At 37.5% G+C, this 16,621-nt stretch overlaps 1 protein-coding gene across 2 annotated transcripts in view, besides 1 other annotated feature; it reads left to right on the forward strand.

Annotated features, from left to right (window-relative positions):
- ARHGAP5 (Rho GTPase activating protein 5) overlaps positions 1-16,621 on the forward strand; it is an 82,425-nt gene that overhangs the window by 41,475 nt on the left and 24,329 nt on the right. The gene's annotated exons all lie outside the window — the stretch shown is intronic.
- Positions 8,343-9,293: an enhancer, noted in NCBI's record as "NANOG-H3K27ac hESC enhancer chr14:32596327-32597277 (GRCh37/hg19 assembly coordinates)". NCBI's record gives its function as "activates a minimal SCP1, AML or CMV promoter by ChIP-STARR-seq in naive H9 embryonic stem cells {active_cell/tissue: H9 hESC(naive)}" and the evidence as "EXISTENCE:reporter gene assay evidence [ECO:0000049][PMID:30033119]".

Genomic DNA, 16,621 nt, shown 5'->3' on the forward strand with positions numbered 1-16,621 from the left:
TAAGCCTATGGATACAACTGAACAATTAGAACATACTTTCCTTTAGTGATTGAAAAGCAATAATAAAATTATAGATTAGTGTTTTGTACATTTATTATTTAAAATTTCTATTTCTTGAATATTTCTTAGTAGTTGAGTGATTCGGTTTGAGGAAAATAAATGAATTCCAAATATAGGATAAAATGCAGGTCTAGTCCAATTCTTAAAACAACTTGAATTAGTTTAGGTCAACTCTCAGGCGATTTATATATTTAAGTGCTTTGGTAGAAAGATAACATAGACTGTAGAATAGAATAAAAGATTAAACTAGTTCTTTTGTTGTCGTTATAGTATATTGTTTGATTTTATTACTGATTTTAAAACTATTAAGCAGTTTTAGCAGAAATTCCTAATTGCCTACGAGATTGTTTGTGTCTTTTGAGAAATTTGTTCATTTCATCTAAATTTCATCAATTTACAGCTCTCAAAATGAACTGTAGCATAACCTTCTTATATTTAAGGTTCAACTTGTAAATATATTGCAGATACTCATTACTTAAAGATTGTGATATTTTGCTGTTTATAGATCCTTAGATGTAGTGATATAAATGATCAGTAATTGTGTTGTTATAATCAGTCCTCTTATTTAAAAGACTAACCTTTCTTGAACAACCATGAAGAAAATATTGACAGTTTTAAGAATCAGCTTTATTGATGTAATTTACATACAATAAAATTTGCTAGTTTGAATCGTACAGTATGAATTTTTATAATCTATAGTCATGTAACTGCCACCACAATCAAGATTTAAGTTATTTTCATTCACCGCTAAAAGCATCTGGTGTTTTATTATTTTATTAAGTATAATGTTAGCTGTTGGATTTTTGTAGATGAACTTTATCTGGTTGAGAAAGTACTCTAACATTCCTAGTTTGCTGAGTTTTTATACAAAATAGGTGTTGATTTTGTCACGTGGTTTTCTGCATCTGTTGAGGTTATCTTACGATTGTTTTTTGCTGTGGATTGTGAATTACATTGATTTTTCACATTAAACTAACCTTACATCCCTGGGATAAATACCACTTGGTCATGTTTTATCCTTTTTATGTATTGCTGGATTCATTTTCTAAAATGTTAAGGATTTTTGCATCCTGAAGGATTTTAGTCTGTAGTTTTCTTTTCTTGCAGTGTCTTTGTTTGGTTGGTATCAGAGTGAAAAGCTGGCATCATAGATTAAGTTTATTTTCTGGAAGAGTTTATGTAGAATTGGTAGTATTTCTTTCTTTAATTTTAGTAGAATTCATCAGTGAAGTGATTTCGACCTGGAATTTGTTTGTGAGGAGGTTTTTAATTTAAGTTTCTTTAGTAGATATAGTGCTATTCAGATTTTTTATTTCTTCTGGAGTAAGCATTGGTTGTTTGTGTGTTTTGAGGAATTCATTCATTTCATCTAAATTGACAAGGTTTTTAATAAAATTCCTTATTATCCTTTTAGTGCCTTCTAGCATCTGTAGTGACGTCTTTCTTCCCTGATATTACTAAATTGTGTCTTTTTTGTTGTGGTTGAGGTTTATCAATTTTATTGATCACTTCAAAGGACTAGCTTTTGCTTTTATTGATTTTCCTTTTTTTTTCCATTTTTTAATTTATTGAATTCTACTTGTTTCTTTCTTCTTTGGTTTTTCTGAAGTTTCTTAAAATAGAAATCTAGATTACTGTGTTAGACCAGTTTTCTTTTCTAGTGTAAATATTTAATGGTCCAGATTTTCCTCTAAGCATTGTTTTAGCTGTATTCCATATAGATATGCTGTGTTCCATTTTTGTTTAATTCAAAATACTTTGTAATTTCCTTTTTTTTTTTTTTAAATTAACTCATCGGTTATTAGATTTCTAAATATTTGGTGGTTTTCCACATCTTTTTTGTTCATTTCTAGTTTAATTATTTTGCATTTGAAAAACAAGGAGTTTGATTCCAGGTTAAGTTTATTGAAGAGTTTAATGAGACCTTGAACTGAATGTTTATTATAGTGTGAAGGGTTCTATAAATGTCAGATCAAATTCTTTGAGTGTGTTGGTCAAGTCCTGTATGTCCTATTTTATATCCTATTTTTCTTGTTTAACTTTTGTAAAATTAAAGAATACTGTTGAAATCTGCAATCATGATTGTAGATTGTGTGTTTCTCCTTTCAGTTCTATTAGATTTTACATCATGTATTTTGAAGATCTTTTAATTTCATACACATTTAGGATTATGTCTTTTTTTTTTTTTTTTTTTTGGAGACAGGGTTCTCTCTCTAACACCCAGGCTGAAGTGCAGAGGTGTAACTTCAGCTAGTTGCAACCTCCACCTCCCCGGCTCAGGCAATCCTCCCACCTCAGCCTCCCAAATAGCTGGGACTGCCACCACACCCAGCCACCTTTTTTGGTTTTGGTAGAAACAGGGTTTTGCCATTTTCCCCAGCCTCGTCTCAAACTCCTGAGCTCAAGCAATCTTCCCACATATGTTTGTTCTGAAGTCTACTTTGCCTAGTATTAATATAGCCAATGTTTTTTCCTTTGAGTAGTGTTTGTGATATATCTTTTTCTTTACTTATGCTTTTATGTATCTTCATTTCTAATGTGGTATACATCTTTATAGATTACCTTCAAGTGATATACCACTTTAATGTGTTTTATAAGAACCTTAGAACAGTATACTTCTCTCATGCCTTGTTCTGTTGTTATATATTTTAAATCTATAATGTTTTAAAATCACCATACATGTTTATAATTTTTGCTTTAAACAGATTGTTGTCCTTGTTTTTGAAAGATATTTTCTTAGATTAGAATTCTCTTTTATGTAATAGCTTTATTGAAATATAATTCACTTTATACAATACACCCATTTAAAGTGTACAGTTTATTCACAGAGTTGTACCAGCTTCACCACAATCAATTTTAGAACATTTTCATCATCCCAAGAAGAAATACTATACTGATTAAGCAATCACTTTCTATTCCCCACTCTCACCCCCCCATCAACTTTCTGCCTTTACAGGCTTGCCTGTTCCTGGATATTTCATATAAATTGAATAATATATAATGTGGTCTTTTGTGATTGGCTTCTTTCATTTAACATAGTTTTCAAGTTATTCATGTTGTATCACCTATCAGTACTTAATTTCTTTTTATTGCTGAATAATTTTACATTGATGGACACTTGGTTTGTTTCTACTTTTTAACTTGTGAAGAGTGCTGCTGTGAACATTACTTTCAGAGTTTGTGTGTGGACATATGTTTTCACCTCTTGGGTATATACTTAAGAGTGGAATTGTTGGATCTGTGTTTAGCCTTTTAAGGAACTACCAGACTCTTTCAAAGAGGTGGCACCACTTGACATTCCCATCAGCAGTGTGAGTTCCAATTTCTCCACATTTTGCCAATGTTTATTTTTCTTTTTGATTATAGTCATATAAGTGGTAATGTGAAATGTATCTCATATGATTTTGATTTGCATTTCCCTGATGACTAATGATGCCGAACATCTTTTTAAGTGCTTTATTGGCTTTTTGTGCACATCTTTGAAGAAATATCTATTCAGATCCTTTGCCCTCTTTTTAGTTGGATTGTTTGTCTTACTGTTGAGTTTAAGGGCTCTTTGTATATTTTGGATACAAATTGTTTTCAAATACGATTTGCTAAAATATTCTCCATTCTGTGGGTCATTTTTTACAACTTCTTGAAGATATGCTTTGAAGGATAAAGTTTTCAATTTTGATGAAGAACATTTTGTCTGTTTCTAAAATTTTGTCACTGTGTGCATGGTGTCATGTCTAAGAAGGTTTTTGCCTAATCCAAGGTCACAAAGATTTATTCCATTTATCTTCCAAGAGTTTTACGGTTTTATCACATACATTTAGGTCTGTGATCCATTTTGACTTAATTTTTGTGTGTGGTTTAAGGAAAGGTTCCAGCTTGATTCTTTTGCATGTGGATATCCATTATATAAGCACTATTTATTAAAAAGACTATTCTACTGAATTGCCTTGGCACAGTTGTTCAAAATCAGTTGACCATAAATGTGAAGGTTTATTTCTGGACTCATATTCTATTGATCTGTATGTCTGTCCATACATGATATTATCTGTCTGTTTTCATTATTGTTTTGTAGTAAGTTTTGAAATCAAGAAGTGTGACTGTTTGAACTTTGTTCTTCTGGGTATAGAGTTTTAGGCTGATGGGTTTTCTTGCTTTTCATTCATCTCTTTAAAGACTGCTTGTTATGATATCTCATACCTAGTGAGATTTCTGCTCATTCTTATCTGTGTTCTTCTGAATGGGATGTATTCTCTTTTCTCCCTCAACCCCCAATACTTTAAGATTATTCTCTCTAGTTTTCAGCAATTTTATTAAAAATAATAAAATTATCACATAATTTTAATAATCTTAGTATGTGTGTTTTAAAAACGACATCTGCTTGAGGTTTCTGGAGCATCTTAGCTCTCTTAGTTTATAATTTTCGAATTTGGAAAATTTGGGGCCATTATTTCTTGAAGTATTTTTATCTCTTCTTCCATTTCCCACTCCTTATTCGTGTGTTAGACCTCTAGGAATTGTTTAAAACTTTTTTTTTCTGTATGGCCAAATGTAGAAATGCCATTTAAGTCTTTCTTTTTATGTGTTCATTTCTATACCCATTATATTGATGTTTTCCTGTGTATATATGTCTTTGGGCATATAAAATTTATAATAGCCATTTTAAGATTTTTGGTTTACTAATTCTGTTCTATATCATTTCTGGGCCTCTTTCTGTTGTTTTTGTTGTTTTGTGGGTTATATTTTTCTGCTTCTTGTTTTGATAGTTTTGATGTCAGAATTCTGAATTTTACATTATTTAGTCTTCTGAATTTTTATTGGATGATGTTATTAGTGTTTCTTTAAAGAATGTTAGATTTGCTCGGTGCTTCTCCTTGGCTGGTGGAGAAAAAGAAAAAAATAGTTAAGAATGTTTGATTTGTTTTTTCATGTGTTAAGTACCTTGTGAATCAGTTTGGTCCTTTCTAAGATGGATTGTAAGTTTGTATGGCAGATCTAGAGCAGCCTTTATTCTGATACTTGTTTATACCTACAATAAAATTAGATTTGACCCTGTGCCCCATTTATATTAAAAGATCTTCTGAGAATAAAACTTGAACTATTCTCAGCTCTTGGCCTCAAGAAGTTTTCTCTCATATATGTGCAGTATTCAACCAAAGAACCCAGAGACTCTTCTGCATATCCGATACTCTTTCTCTGTGTATTTCTCCATCTTTTTGGTATTCTACCCCACAAATTCTAGCCTTCTCAGTCTTTCTGAACTCTCTTCTCTCTTCAGCTCTCATAGACCATTGTGATTCCACCTCCCATCACTAACTACCACCTCAAAACTCTCCAGACACTACGTTGGGGCATTCAGACAGCTTGCCTCATTTGCTGCTTTTTCCCTCATGGATCATGGTTTTGAACTGTGATTAATGTTCATGTTCAGTGATCAGTGTTCAGTGTCTGAAAACTGGTGTTTCATATAATTTTTCGAGTCCTTAGTTTTTTACTATGGGAGGGCAATTTCCACAGCAGTTAACCAGGGCATCATGGTGGAAGCAGATGTCCCTATTTTTATAATAGTACTATCTTAATAAGTTGTGCTAGGTTCCAGTTGGGAAATGACCCTTGAAATATTAATATGTTTACAGTAGACAAAAAGGGATAGTGCAGAAGAGAGTAACTGAAGAGAAAGGGAATAATAGGTCTTTTTGAGGAGTTAATAAGGATGATAAACCTGATAGATATTGGGTTGAAAGAGAGGGCTCAGAAGTGCCTCTCAGATTGCTCTGTTAGGGTGACCGTAGATGGCATTCCATTAATGAAAATAGAAGTTATAATGAGAAATGGCAGTTTCATAGTACATTCATGTTTGGACATGTTAAATCTTCCGAGGTGCCTGTGGGACATATAAAAGCCTAAGACACAGTTGTATATATGGCTATGGATCTCTGGAAAGTGGTTTGGTCTTTAGATATGATTTTGGTAATTGTCAGTGTCTAGATATTAATGTAAACTATATGTGATATAATTCAGGGTAGACATCTAGGGTGGTAGGAAGAAAAGTTCACAGTGCAAACAGGCTATACAAGAGTGGAGCCCTAAAACACTAGGGAGAAGAAAAATTTTACTAAGAAGCATGATTATCAACATTTGAATGAGAATGATTTTTTTACATTGCTTTTTCTGAGGTGCAATTCATAAATAACATAAAACTAACCATTTTGAAATGTACAGTTCAGTGGCAGGTAGTATATTCACAGTGTTGGATAACCACCACCTCATCTAGTTCCAGAACATTTTCATTTACCCCGAAGAAAACCCTGTACACATTAAGCAGTTATTTCTTATTTCCCCACTACTCCAGTCCCTGGCAGTAACCAATCTGCTTTATGGCTCTCTGAATTTACTAATTCTGGATATTTCATATCAGTAGAATCACACAATGTATGACCTTTTCTTCTGCTTCTTAGCATTATTGTTTTGAGGCTCATCTGTGTTGTAACATGTATCATTATGTGTATATACATACATACATGCACACACATTTTGCTTTTTCAATCGTTTGGTGGACATTTGGGTTATTTCCACCTTTTGGCTATTGTGAACAGTCTGCTGTGAACATTCATGTGTACAACTATTCGTTCAAGTACCTGTTTTCAATTATTTTGGGTACCTAGGAGTAGAATACTGGATCATATGGTAATTCTGTGTTTAACTTCTTGAGGAACTGTCAAATTGTTTCCACAGTGGATGCACCATTTTACTTCCCACCAACAATGTGTAAGGGTTCAAATTTCTCCATGTTGTTGCCAACACTTGTATGTGTTCTGTATGTGTATTAATTTTAGCTGTCTTATCCCTTTTGATAAGGTTTCCTTTTAATCACTAAGTAGGTTACTTTGTCAGTATTGTGATTTTAGCAATATTAAGTCTTCGAATCCATGAATGTTTGATGTCTTTTTTATTTGTCTTTAATTTCTTTCAGTACCGTTTTGTAGTTTTCAGTGTTCAAGTCTTGCCTTGGTTAAATTTATTCCTAGGTATTTTATTGGAATGTTATTGTAAATGGAATTTAATTTAATTTTCATGTTTATGGATGTTTATGGTGGTGTGTAGAACTGATTTTTGTGTGTTGATCTTGTATCCTGAAATTTTGCCAAATTATTAGCTCTATTTTTTGTGTGTATTTGGGGGTTTTTATATATGTTTGTCTTCTGTGAATAGGGATACCTTTACTTTCAAATCTGAATGCTTTCTATTTCTTTGTCTTGCCTAATTGCTGTGGCTTGAACTTCCAGTGCAATGTTGAATAGCAGTTGTGAAAAGAGCACACGCTTGTCTTGTTCCTTATCTCAGGGGAAGCTTTTATTATTTCATCATGGAGTATGATATCAGCTGTGGGTTTTTTTTGTTTGTTTGTTTTTTTGAGATGGAGTCTCACAGTTCTGAACGCTAGAAGTCTGAAAGCAAGGTGTCAGCAGGGCCATGTTCCCTCTGAGACTCTAGGTAAACCTTCCTTGCCTCTTTCTTGCTTCTGGTGGTGGCTGTCAATCCCTGGTGTTCCATGGTTGGCAGCTGTATTACTACAATCTCTGCCTTTGGCATTCTCCATGTGCGTGCGCAGGTGTGTTTTCTCTTCTTTTCATAAGGACATCAGTCATATTGGGTTAAGGACCTCACCCTACTCCAATAATGACCACATCTTACCTTAACTAACTACATCTGCAATGATCTATTCCCAATAAGGTCACCTTCTAAGGTATTGGGGGTTAAGACTTCAACATATCTTTTTAGGACACAAAATTCAACTCATAATACCTTTCATTCCTAGTTTGTTGAGTGATGACAATGATTATTATTATGAAAGGACATTGGATTTTATTGGATTATTTTTCTGTGTCAGTTGAGATAATCATGTTATTTTTCTTTTCTTTCATTTATTGATGTATTACATGGATTGATTTTTCTTTTTTTGGGGGGGGAGTAGTGAGCGTTTAATGGGTGCAGAGTTTCAGTTTTGCAAGATGAAAACAGCTCTGGAGATGGGTGGTAGTGATGGATGCACAATATGAATGTACTTAATACCACTGAAGTGTACACTTACAAATGGTTAAGGTGGTAAATTTTATGTCATGTGTATTTTACCACAATAAAAAAAAAATCAGGAAATATGATATCTTTTTTTTTTTTTTTTTGAGGTAGAGTCTCACTCTGTCACCCAGGCTGGAGTACAGTGGTGTAGTCTTGGCTCACTGCGACCTCCACCTCCTGGGTTCAAGTGATTCTCCTGCCTCAGCCTCCCAAGTAGCTGGGACCACAGGTGCGTGCCACCACTCCTGGCTGATTTTTTTTTTTTTAATTTTTTTAGTATTTATTGATCATTCTTGGGTGTTTCTGGGAGAGGGGGATTTGGCAGGGTCATAGGACAACAGTGGAGAGAAGGTCAGCAGATAAACATGTGAACAAAGGTCTCTGGTTTTTCTAGGCAGAGGACCCTGCAGCCTTCGGCAGTGTTTGTGTCCCTGGGTACTTGAGATTAGGGAGTGGTGATGACTCTTAACAAGCATGCTGCCTTCAAGCATTTGTTTAACAAAGCACATCTTGCACCGCCCTTAATCCATTTAACCCTGAGTTGACACAGCACATGTTTCAGAGAGCACGGGGTTGGGGGTAAGGTTATAGATTAACAGCATCCCAAGGCAGAAGAATTTTTCTTAGTACAGAACAAAATGGAGTCTCCTATGTCTACTTCTTTCTACGCAGACACAGTAACAATCTGATCTCTCTTTCTTTTCCCCACATTTCCCCCTTTTCTATTCGACAAAACCGCCATCGTCATCATGGCCCGTTCTCAATGAGCTGTTGGGTACACCTCCCAGACGGGGTGGCGGCCGGGCAGAGGGGCTCCTCACTTCCCAGACGTGGTGGCCAGGCAGAGGGGCCTCCCCACCCCCGAGACAGGGCGGCTGGAGGCGCCCCCCACCTCCCAGACGGGGTGGCCGGGCGGAGATGCTCCTCACTTCCCAGACGGGGCAGCTGCCGGGCGGAGGGGCTCCTCACTTCTCAGACGGGGCGGCTGGGCAGAGGCACTCCTCAGTTCCCAGACGTGGTCACGGCCGGGCAGAGGTGCTCCCCACTTCCCAGACGGGGTGGCGGCCGGGCAGAGGCGCTCCTCACCTCCCAGACGGGGTGGCGGCCGGGTAGAGACGCTCCTCACCTCCCAGACAGTGCGGCCGGGCAGAGGCGCTCCTCACATCCCAGACAGGGTGGCCGGGCAGAGTCGCTCCCCACATCCCAGATGATGGGCGGCCAGGCAGAGACGCTTCTCACTTCCTAGACGGGATGACGGCCGGGAAGAGGCGCTCCTCACTTCCCAGACTGGGCGGCCAGGCAGAGGGGCTCCTCACATCCCAGACGATGGGTGGCCAGGCAGACGCTCCTCACTTCCTAGATGGGGTGGCGGCCGGGCAGAGGCCGCAATCTCAGCACTTTGGGAGGCCAAGGCAGGCGGCTGGGAGGTGGAGGTTGTAGCGAGCCAAGATCATGCCACTGCACTCCAGCATGGGCTGGGCTCCCAAACAGGTTCATCCTCACACCAACTTGCAAGGGCGTGGCCCGCCTTGTCACCATGAGACCCTGAGAAAGTCCCTTCACCTCGCTGGGCTCTGGTTTCCTCATTCCAAGGATGGCTCTGCTATCTGCGTGTCGGCTATCGGTGCTGAGGCTGGCCCGCCTCTGCGTGGGCAGGATCTTGGCATTCCTTTTGCTCCATGGACGCTGCCTCCCTGGGCTCGCCGCGCCTGGCCGCCCGGCAGGCAGCCCCAGGCCCCGGCTGCTCCATCCCGCTGCCCTGATTTTTCTTATATTAAACCCCCTTGCATTCCTGGAATAAATGCTTTTGGGATTATGGTATATAATCCCTTTAATATGCTGTTAGATTTTATTTGCTAGTATTTTGTTGAAGACTTTTGCATCTATATTCATAAAAGATACTGGTCTGTTGTGTTTTCTTGTGGTGTTTTTGTCTGGCTTTAATGTCAGGATGCTACTGACCTCATAGGAGTTAGGAAGTGTTTCTACTTTTAGAATGGTATATTTAATGACTGTGTTCCCTGGTTTTAAAAGTGCACTGTCTTCAGAATCTACTGAGGCATTCCTGTGTTAGAGACTTACGCTTTCTAAATTTTTTTCTGCATTTTTAGTTTTTCAGCCTCCTGCTTTATTGTCAGTATACCTCCTGCTGCTGTGTATCTCATTTTTGCTTTTCTAGTTTGCAACTTCTAATCTGCTGTGAGTCAGGAAAACATATGGCAGAGTTAAATTGTGCTTTTGGTTAGGTTAGATAGAATCTGTGGAAAAACCTAAGGTGTTTCTCTTATAAGTAAATAATATATTTTAGTGGAAAGGCTTTGTGACATATTATTGGCTACTTGTAGTCCTTTCTGTTCCCATTTTTTTTTCAGTTATGCTAGAGTAGGTGATCAGGTGACCAAATTCCAGATAGCTGAGGTATTACTGTATTTGCCAGAATTTTTATTTGCATGTGGTTGCAGTTAATCTGGAACGCCCCACTATGACAAATGAATTATAAAGAAATAGAGACTATCTTTAAAGCGTAGCAGTTATATTTTTGGTAAAAGTGGATTAGAAGGATAAACATTAATAGCCTTCTCTGTATATTGGTCTAAAACTTGTGTTTTGTTTCACCACCCCAATATGGGATGAAAATGGATGAATGAATCTTTGTGTTATTGCTAAAGTAAATACAACTTCCTTAAGTAAAACCTTTTTGTTTAAACTTCAGCTTTCCCACTTGATGCTTTCAAGAACTCCCACTTTTTTTTTTTTAATCACTACAACACTTTTTCACTAAATATCAATCCCTTGTTTCTCCTGCCCTACCTTGTCTGGATATTTCTCAATCCATTTTTATGTTCACTCCCTTGCATACTTCCTCGAAATTTCCACCATTTTATTCACTTGGCAAAACCTCAACTTTGGTTAAACCTCTGGTTACTCTGTGTTTGAACCAGAACAGGGGATATCATGGCTATAGAAAAACAAGCCATGCAGTTCACTTTGACTGTATGACCACACTTCCAGGCACAGTGGCTCACACCTGTAATACCAGTACTTTTGGGAAGCCAAGGAAGGATTGCCTGATCCCGGGAATTTGAGGTTGCAGTGAGCCATGATCACAGTACTGCATTCCAGCCTGGGTAACAGAGTGAGACTCTGCCTCTGAAGTAAATACATATATATGTAATAAAATATATATGTAATAAAATATATATATATGACCACATATCTTAAGCAGCTTAAGTGATCATCTTATATTTCCAATTTACCTAGTAAATTTGTTTGTTGAATCCCTTGCATTCATAAGGGATTTTTTTTTTTTTTTTTTTTGAGATGGAGTCTCACTGTGTCCCCCAGGCTGGAGTGTAGTGGTGGGATCTCGGCTCACTGCAACCTCTACCGCCCAGGTTCAAGTGATTCTCCTGCCTCAGACTCCTGAGTAGCTGGGATTACAGGTGCCTGCTATCACACCAGGCTAATTTTTTGGGTTTTTTTTTTTTTTTAATAGAGAAGGGGTTTCATCATGTTGCCAGGCTGGTCTGGAACTCCTGACCTCCAGTCATCCTTCCACCTCGGCCTCCCAAGGTGCTGGGATTACAGGTGTGAACCACCATGCCCAACCTGGCATTGATTGATTGATTGATTGATTGATTGATTTTGAGATGGAGTCTCGCTTTGTCGCCCAGTCTGGAGTGCAGTGGCGCGATCTCAGCTCACTGCAACCTCCGCCTCCTGGGTTCAAACGATTCTCCTGCTTCAGCCTCCTGAGACTACAGGCACGTGCCACCACACCCCGCTGATTTTTGCATTTTTAGTAGAGATGGGATTTCACCATATTGGCCAGGCTGGTCTCAAACTCCTGGCCTTGTGATCCACCTGCCTCGGCCTCCCAAAGTGCTGGGATTACAGGCATGAGCCACCGCACCCAGCCTGTTTTCATTTTCTCACATTTTTCAAAATTTTGGGACCTTTAGAAATGTTACAAGAATAGTATGATTGAGCATTTGTTTACCCTTCTCTAGATTCACCGAGTAAACTTTTTACCACAGTTCTCCAGCTTTTTGGGAGGCTGGTGGGAGGTGCTGAACAATGTGAAATTCAGTTAAAAACGGCATGACACTTCACCTCCAAGTCATTTAGCATAGATTTCCCCACTAACAAGAACATTCTCTTCACATAACTGCAAAATAAATACATGTTTAGGAAATTTAATATTGATACAATTCTATTGTCTAATATAATGTCTGTAATCAAATTCTCCCAGTTGTCTCAACGGTGTCCTCTTAGAGCTTTTTTGTTGTATCAATCCAAGGTCCCAGCAAGAATCATGTATTACTTTTCTTGTCATACTTCTTTTTTTTTTTTTTTTTAGGTTTGTCTTTATTTTATTTTATTTTTGCATTTCTAAGATTTGTATTAATTGTGTTAATTTTGTTAAAATCAATTTATAATTGTATTAAAAGATACATAACGTAAAATGTGTCATGTTAACCATTTTGAAATATACATTTCAGTAGTAAATACATTCACATTGTTGTGCACCCAATCTCTAGAACTTTTGCATTTGGAAAAACTGAAACTGTATTTTTATGAAACGCCAACCCCCCCATTTCTCCCTTCCTCCAGCCACTGGCAACCACCATTTCATGTTCTTTTTGTTTGTTTGTTTTTGTTTTTGTTTTTTGTTTTTTGTTATTATTATACTTCAAGTTTTAGGGTACATGTGCACAACGTGCAGGTTTGTTACATATGTATACATGTGCCATGTTGGTGTGCTGCACCCATTAACTGGTCATTTAGCATCAGGTATATCTCCTAATGCTATCCCTCCCCACTCCCCCAACCCCACAACAGTCCCCGGTGTGTGATGTTCCCCTTCCTGTGTCCACGTGTTCTCATTATTCAGTTCCCACCTATGAGTGAGAACATGCGGTGTTTGGTTTTTTGTCCTTGCGATAGTTTGCTGAGAATGATGGTTTCCAGTTTCATTGATGTCCCTACAAAGGACATGAACTCATCATTTTTTATGGCTGCATAGTATTCCATGGTGTATATGTGCCACATTTTCTTAATCCAGTCTGTCCTTGTTGGACATTTAGGTTGGTTCCAAGTCTTTGCTATTGTGAATAGTGCCGCAATAAACATACAGGTGCATGTGTCTTTATAGCAGCATGATTTATAATCCTTTAGGTATATACCCAGTAATGAGATGGCTGGGTCAAATGGTATTTCTAGTTCTAGATCCCTGAGGAATCGCCACACTGACTTCCACAATGGTTGAACCAGTTTAGAGTCCCACCAACAGTGTAAAAGTGTTCCTATTTCTCCACATCCTCTCCAGCACCTGTTGTTTCCTGACTTTTTAATGATTGCCACTCTAACTGGTGTGAGATGGTATCTTATTGTGGTTTTGATTTGCATTTCTCTGATGGCCAGTGATAGTGAGCATTTTTACATGTGTTTTCTGGCTGCATAAATGTCTTCTTTTGAGCAGTGTCTGTCCATGTCCTTTGCCCACTTTTTGATGGGGTTGTTTGTTATTTTCTTGTAAATTTGTTTGAGTTCATTATAGATTTTGGATATTAGCCCTTTGTCAGATGAGTAGGTTGTGAAAATTTTCTCCCATTTTGTAGGTTGCCTGTTCACTCTGATGGTAGTTTCTTTTGCTGTGCAGAAACTCTTTAGTTTAATTAGATCCTATTTGTCAATTTTGTCTTTTGTTGCCATTGCTTTTGGTGTTTTAGACATGAAGTCCTTGTCCATGCCTATGTCCTGCATGGTAATGCCTAGGTTTTCTTCTAGGGTTTTTATGGTTTTAGGTCTAACATTTAAGTCTTTAATCCATCTTGAATTGATTTTTGTGTAAGGTGTAAGGAAGGGATCCAGTTTCAGCTTTGTACATATGGCTAGCCAGTTTTCCCAGCACCATTTATTAAATAGGGAATCCTTTCCCCATTGCTTGTTTTTGTCAGGTTTGTCAAAGATCAGATAGTTGTAGATATGTGGCATTATTTCTGAGGGCTCTGTTCTGTTCCATTGGTCTGTATGTCTGTTTTGGTACCAGTACCATGCTGTTTTGGTTACTGTAGCCTTGTAGCATAGTTTGAAGTCAGGTAGTGTGATGCCTCCAGCTTTGTTCTTTTGACTTAGGATTGACTTGGCGATGCAGGCTCTTTTTTGGTTCCATATGAACTTTAAAGTAGTTTTTTCCAATTCTGTGAAGAAAGTCATTGGTAGCTTGATGGGGGTGGCATTGAATCTATAAATTACCTTGGGCAATATGGCCATTTTCACGATATTGATTCTTCCTACCCATGAGCATGGAATGTTCTTCCATTTGTTTGTATCCTCTTTTATTTCCTTGAGCAGTGGTTTGTAGTTCTCCTTGAAGAGGTCCTTCACATCCCTTGTAAGTTGGATTCCTGGTATTTTATTCTCTTTGAAGCAATTGTGAATGGGAGTTCACTCATGATTTGGCTCTCTGTCTGTTATTGGTGCATAAGAATGCTTTTGATTTTTGCACATTGATTTTGTATCCTGAGACTTTGCTGAAGTTGCTTATCAGCTTGAGGAGATTTTGGGCTGAGACAATGGGGTTTTCTAGATATACAATCATGTCATCTGCAAACAGGGACAGTTTGACTTCCTCTTTTTCCTAATTGAATACCCTTTATTTCCTTCTCCTGCCTGATTGCCCTGGCCAGAACTTCCAACTCCGTGTTGAATAGGAGTGGTGAGAGAGGGCATCCCTGTCTTGTGCCCGTTTTCAAAGGGAATGCTTCCAGTTTTTGCCCATTCAGTATGATATTGGCTGTGGGTTTGTCATAGATAGGTCTTATTATTTTGAGATACATCCCATCAATACCTAATTTATTGAGAGTTTTTAGCATGAAGGGTTTTTGAATTTTGTCAAAGGCCTTTTCTGCATCTATTGAGATAATCATGTGGTTTTTGTCTTTGGTTCTGTTTATATGTTGGATTACATTTATTGATTTGCATGTATTGAACCAGCCTTGCATCCCAGGGATGTCCAATCAATAGAAAAAGAGGGAATCCTCCCTAACTCATTTTATGAGGCCAGCTTCATCCCGATACCAAAGCCTGGCAGAGACACAACTAAAAAAGGGAATTTTAGACCAATATCCTTGATGAACATCAATGCAAAAATCCTCAATAAAATACTGGCAAACCGAATCCAGCAGCACGTCAGAAAGCTTATCCACCATGATCAAGTGGGCTTGTCATACTTCTTTAGTCTTCTTTAATTTAGAATAGTTTTCTAATCTTGTGGGTATGTTTTCATGTCATGAATTTTTTCATGAAAAAATTCAAAGCCTTTTTTTGCAGAATATTCCTAAATTTTATTTGACTAGAAAGTAGTGACACATTTTAGTTCAATAAACTGAATTTATCATAATATATGTATCCCCCTCCCCACATGGAATTTTAAGAAACTCGTTTTTGATAAATTGAGAAAAGAAAATACTGCTTTTTGTCTTATTCCTGTAATGGCATTGTGCCTGAAATGTCAAGTATCACCGCAAAAAACTCTTGCTCTATTGATGTTACTTCATCCCTATCAGCTTTTTAGCATGTGAAAAATCTCACTTCACTTAGCTTAAGTGAAGCCCCATTAGTAATGCATCATTAAAAACAGCATGAACACATTTACTTCAGCTGTTGTTTTAAAACTCAAAATAGCCGGCCTATTGAACTATACAGTATCAGGGACAATATATTTTATGTCTTGTATCACACATACATACTCTAAACACAGCACAGAGTGGGCATTTAAGGAACATTAAATCTTGTTTGAAATAAAAATATCATCACAATGTCTCATCATAGTATGTCTTCATGTGTTTGTCTTTTGCTTATCCTAAGTGTATCTTTAAGTAGTTTGAGTAATTTATAGCCATTCCGTTTACTGTTGATGTCATTTATGCATGTCTGATTTATATTTGCTATTGGGCCTGAGCCATCACGTTTACAAGAATGACTCCCAGATCTTTATCTCTCACATTCCAGAGTGTTCTTATATTTCATTCTTATATTTAATTCTCCCAGTTGTCCAGGCCTCAGGTATCTCATTAATCTGTCTTTTTCACCCATTGTGCCCACATACCATTAATTGCCCATGCTTGTCCATTCCCAGCATTGTTTGTCTTAACATCTGTTTTACAGGGAAGACTCAGTATATAGCATTTATTTTGTTCCTTCCAATCCAGTTGTCTCATCACTCCCAAAGTTTTCCTATTAAAAAGTATTGAGTGCCTAGAAAGAAAAAATACCAAACTTTCATTGCCCAGGAATTGAGGCTTTTTTGGTTTAAATTATTTTAGTTGCTAGTCAGCAAACACTAATGCAAAAAATACATTTAACTGGAATGAAGGTAACTTAGAGAAGCTGAAAGCAACTCATCTATTGGGCCAGAACCAGGAAGTGTTCTCTTTTCATTTCTCTTCTTTTTTATGTCTAGACTCACCTGGTCTGTTCACCA

This window comes from Homo sapiens, chromosome 14, assembly GCF_000001405.40.
Source record: "Homo sapiens chromosome 14, GRCh38.p14 Primary Assembly".
In the NCBI taxonomy this organism is placed as follows: Eukaryota; Metazoa; Chordata; class Mammalia; order Primates; family Hominidae; genus Homo; species Homo sapiens.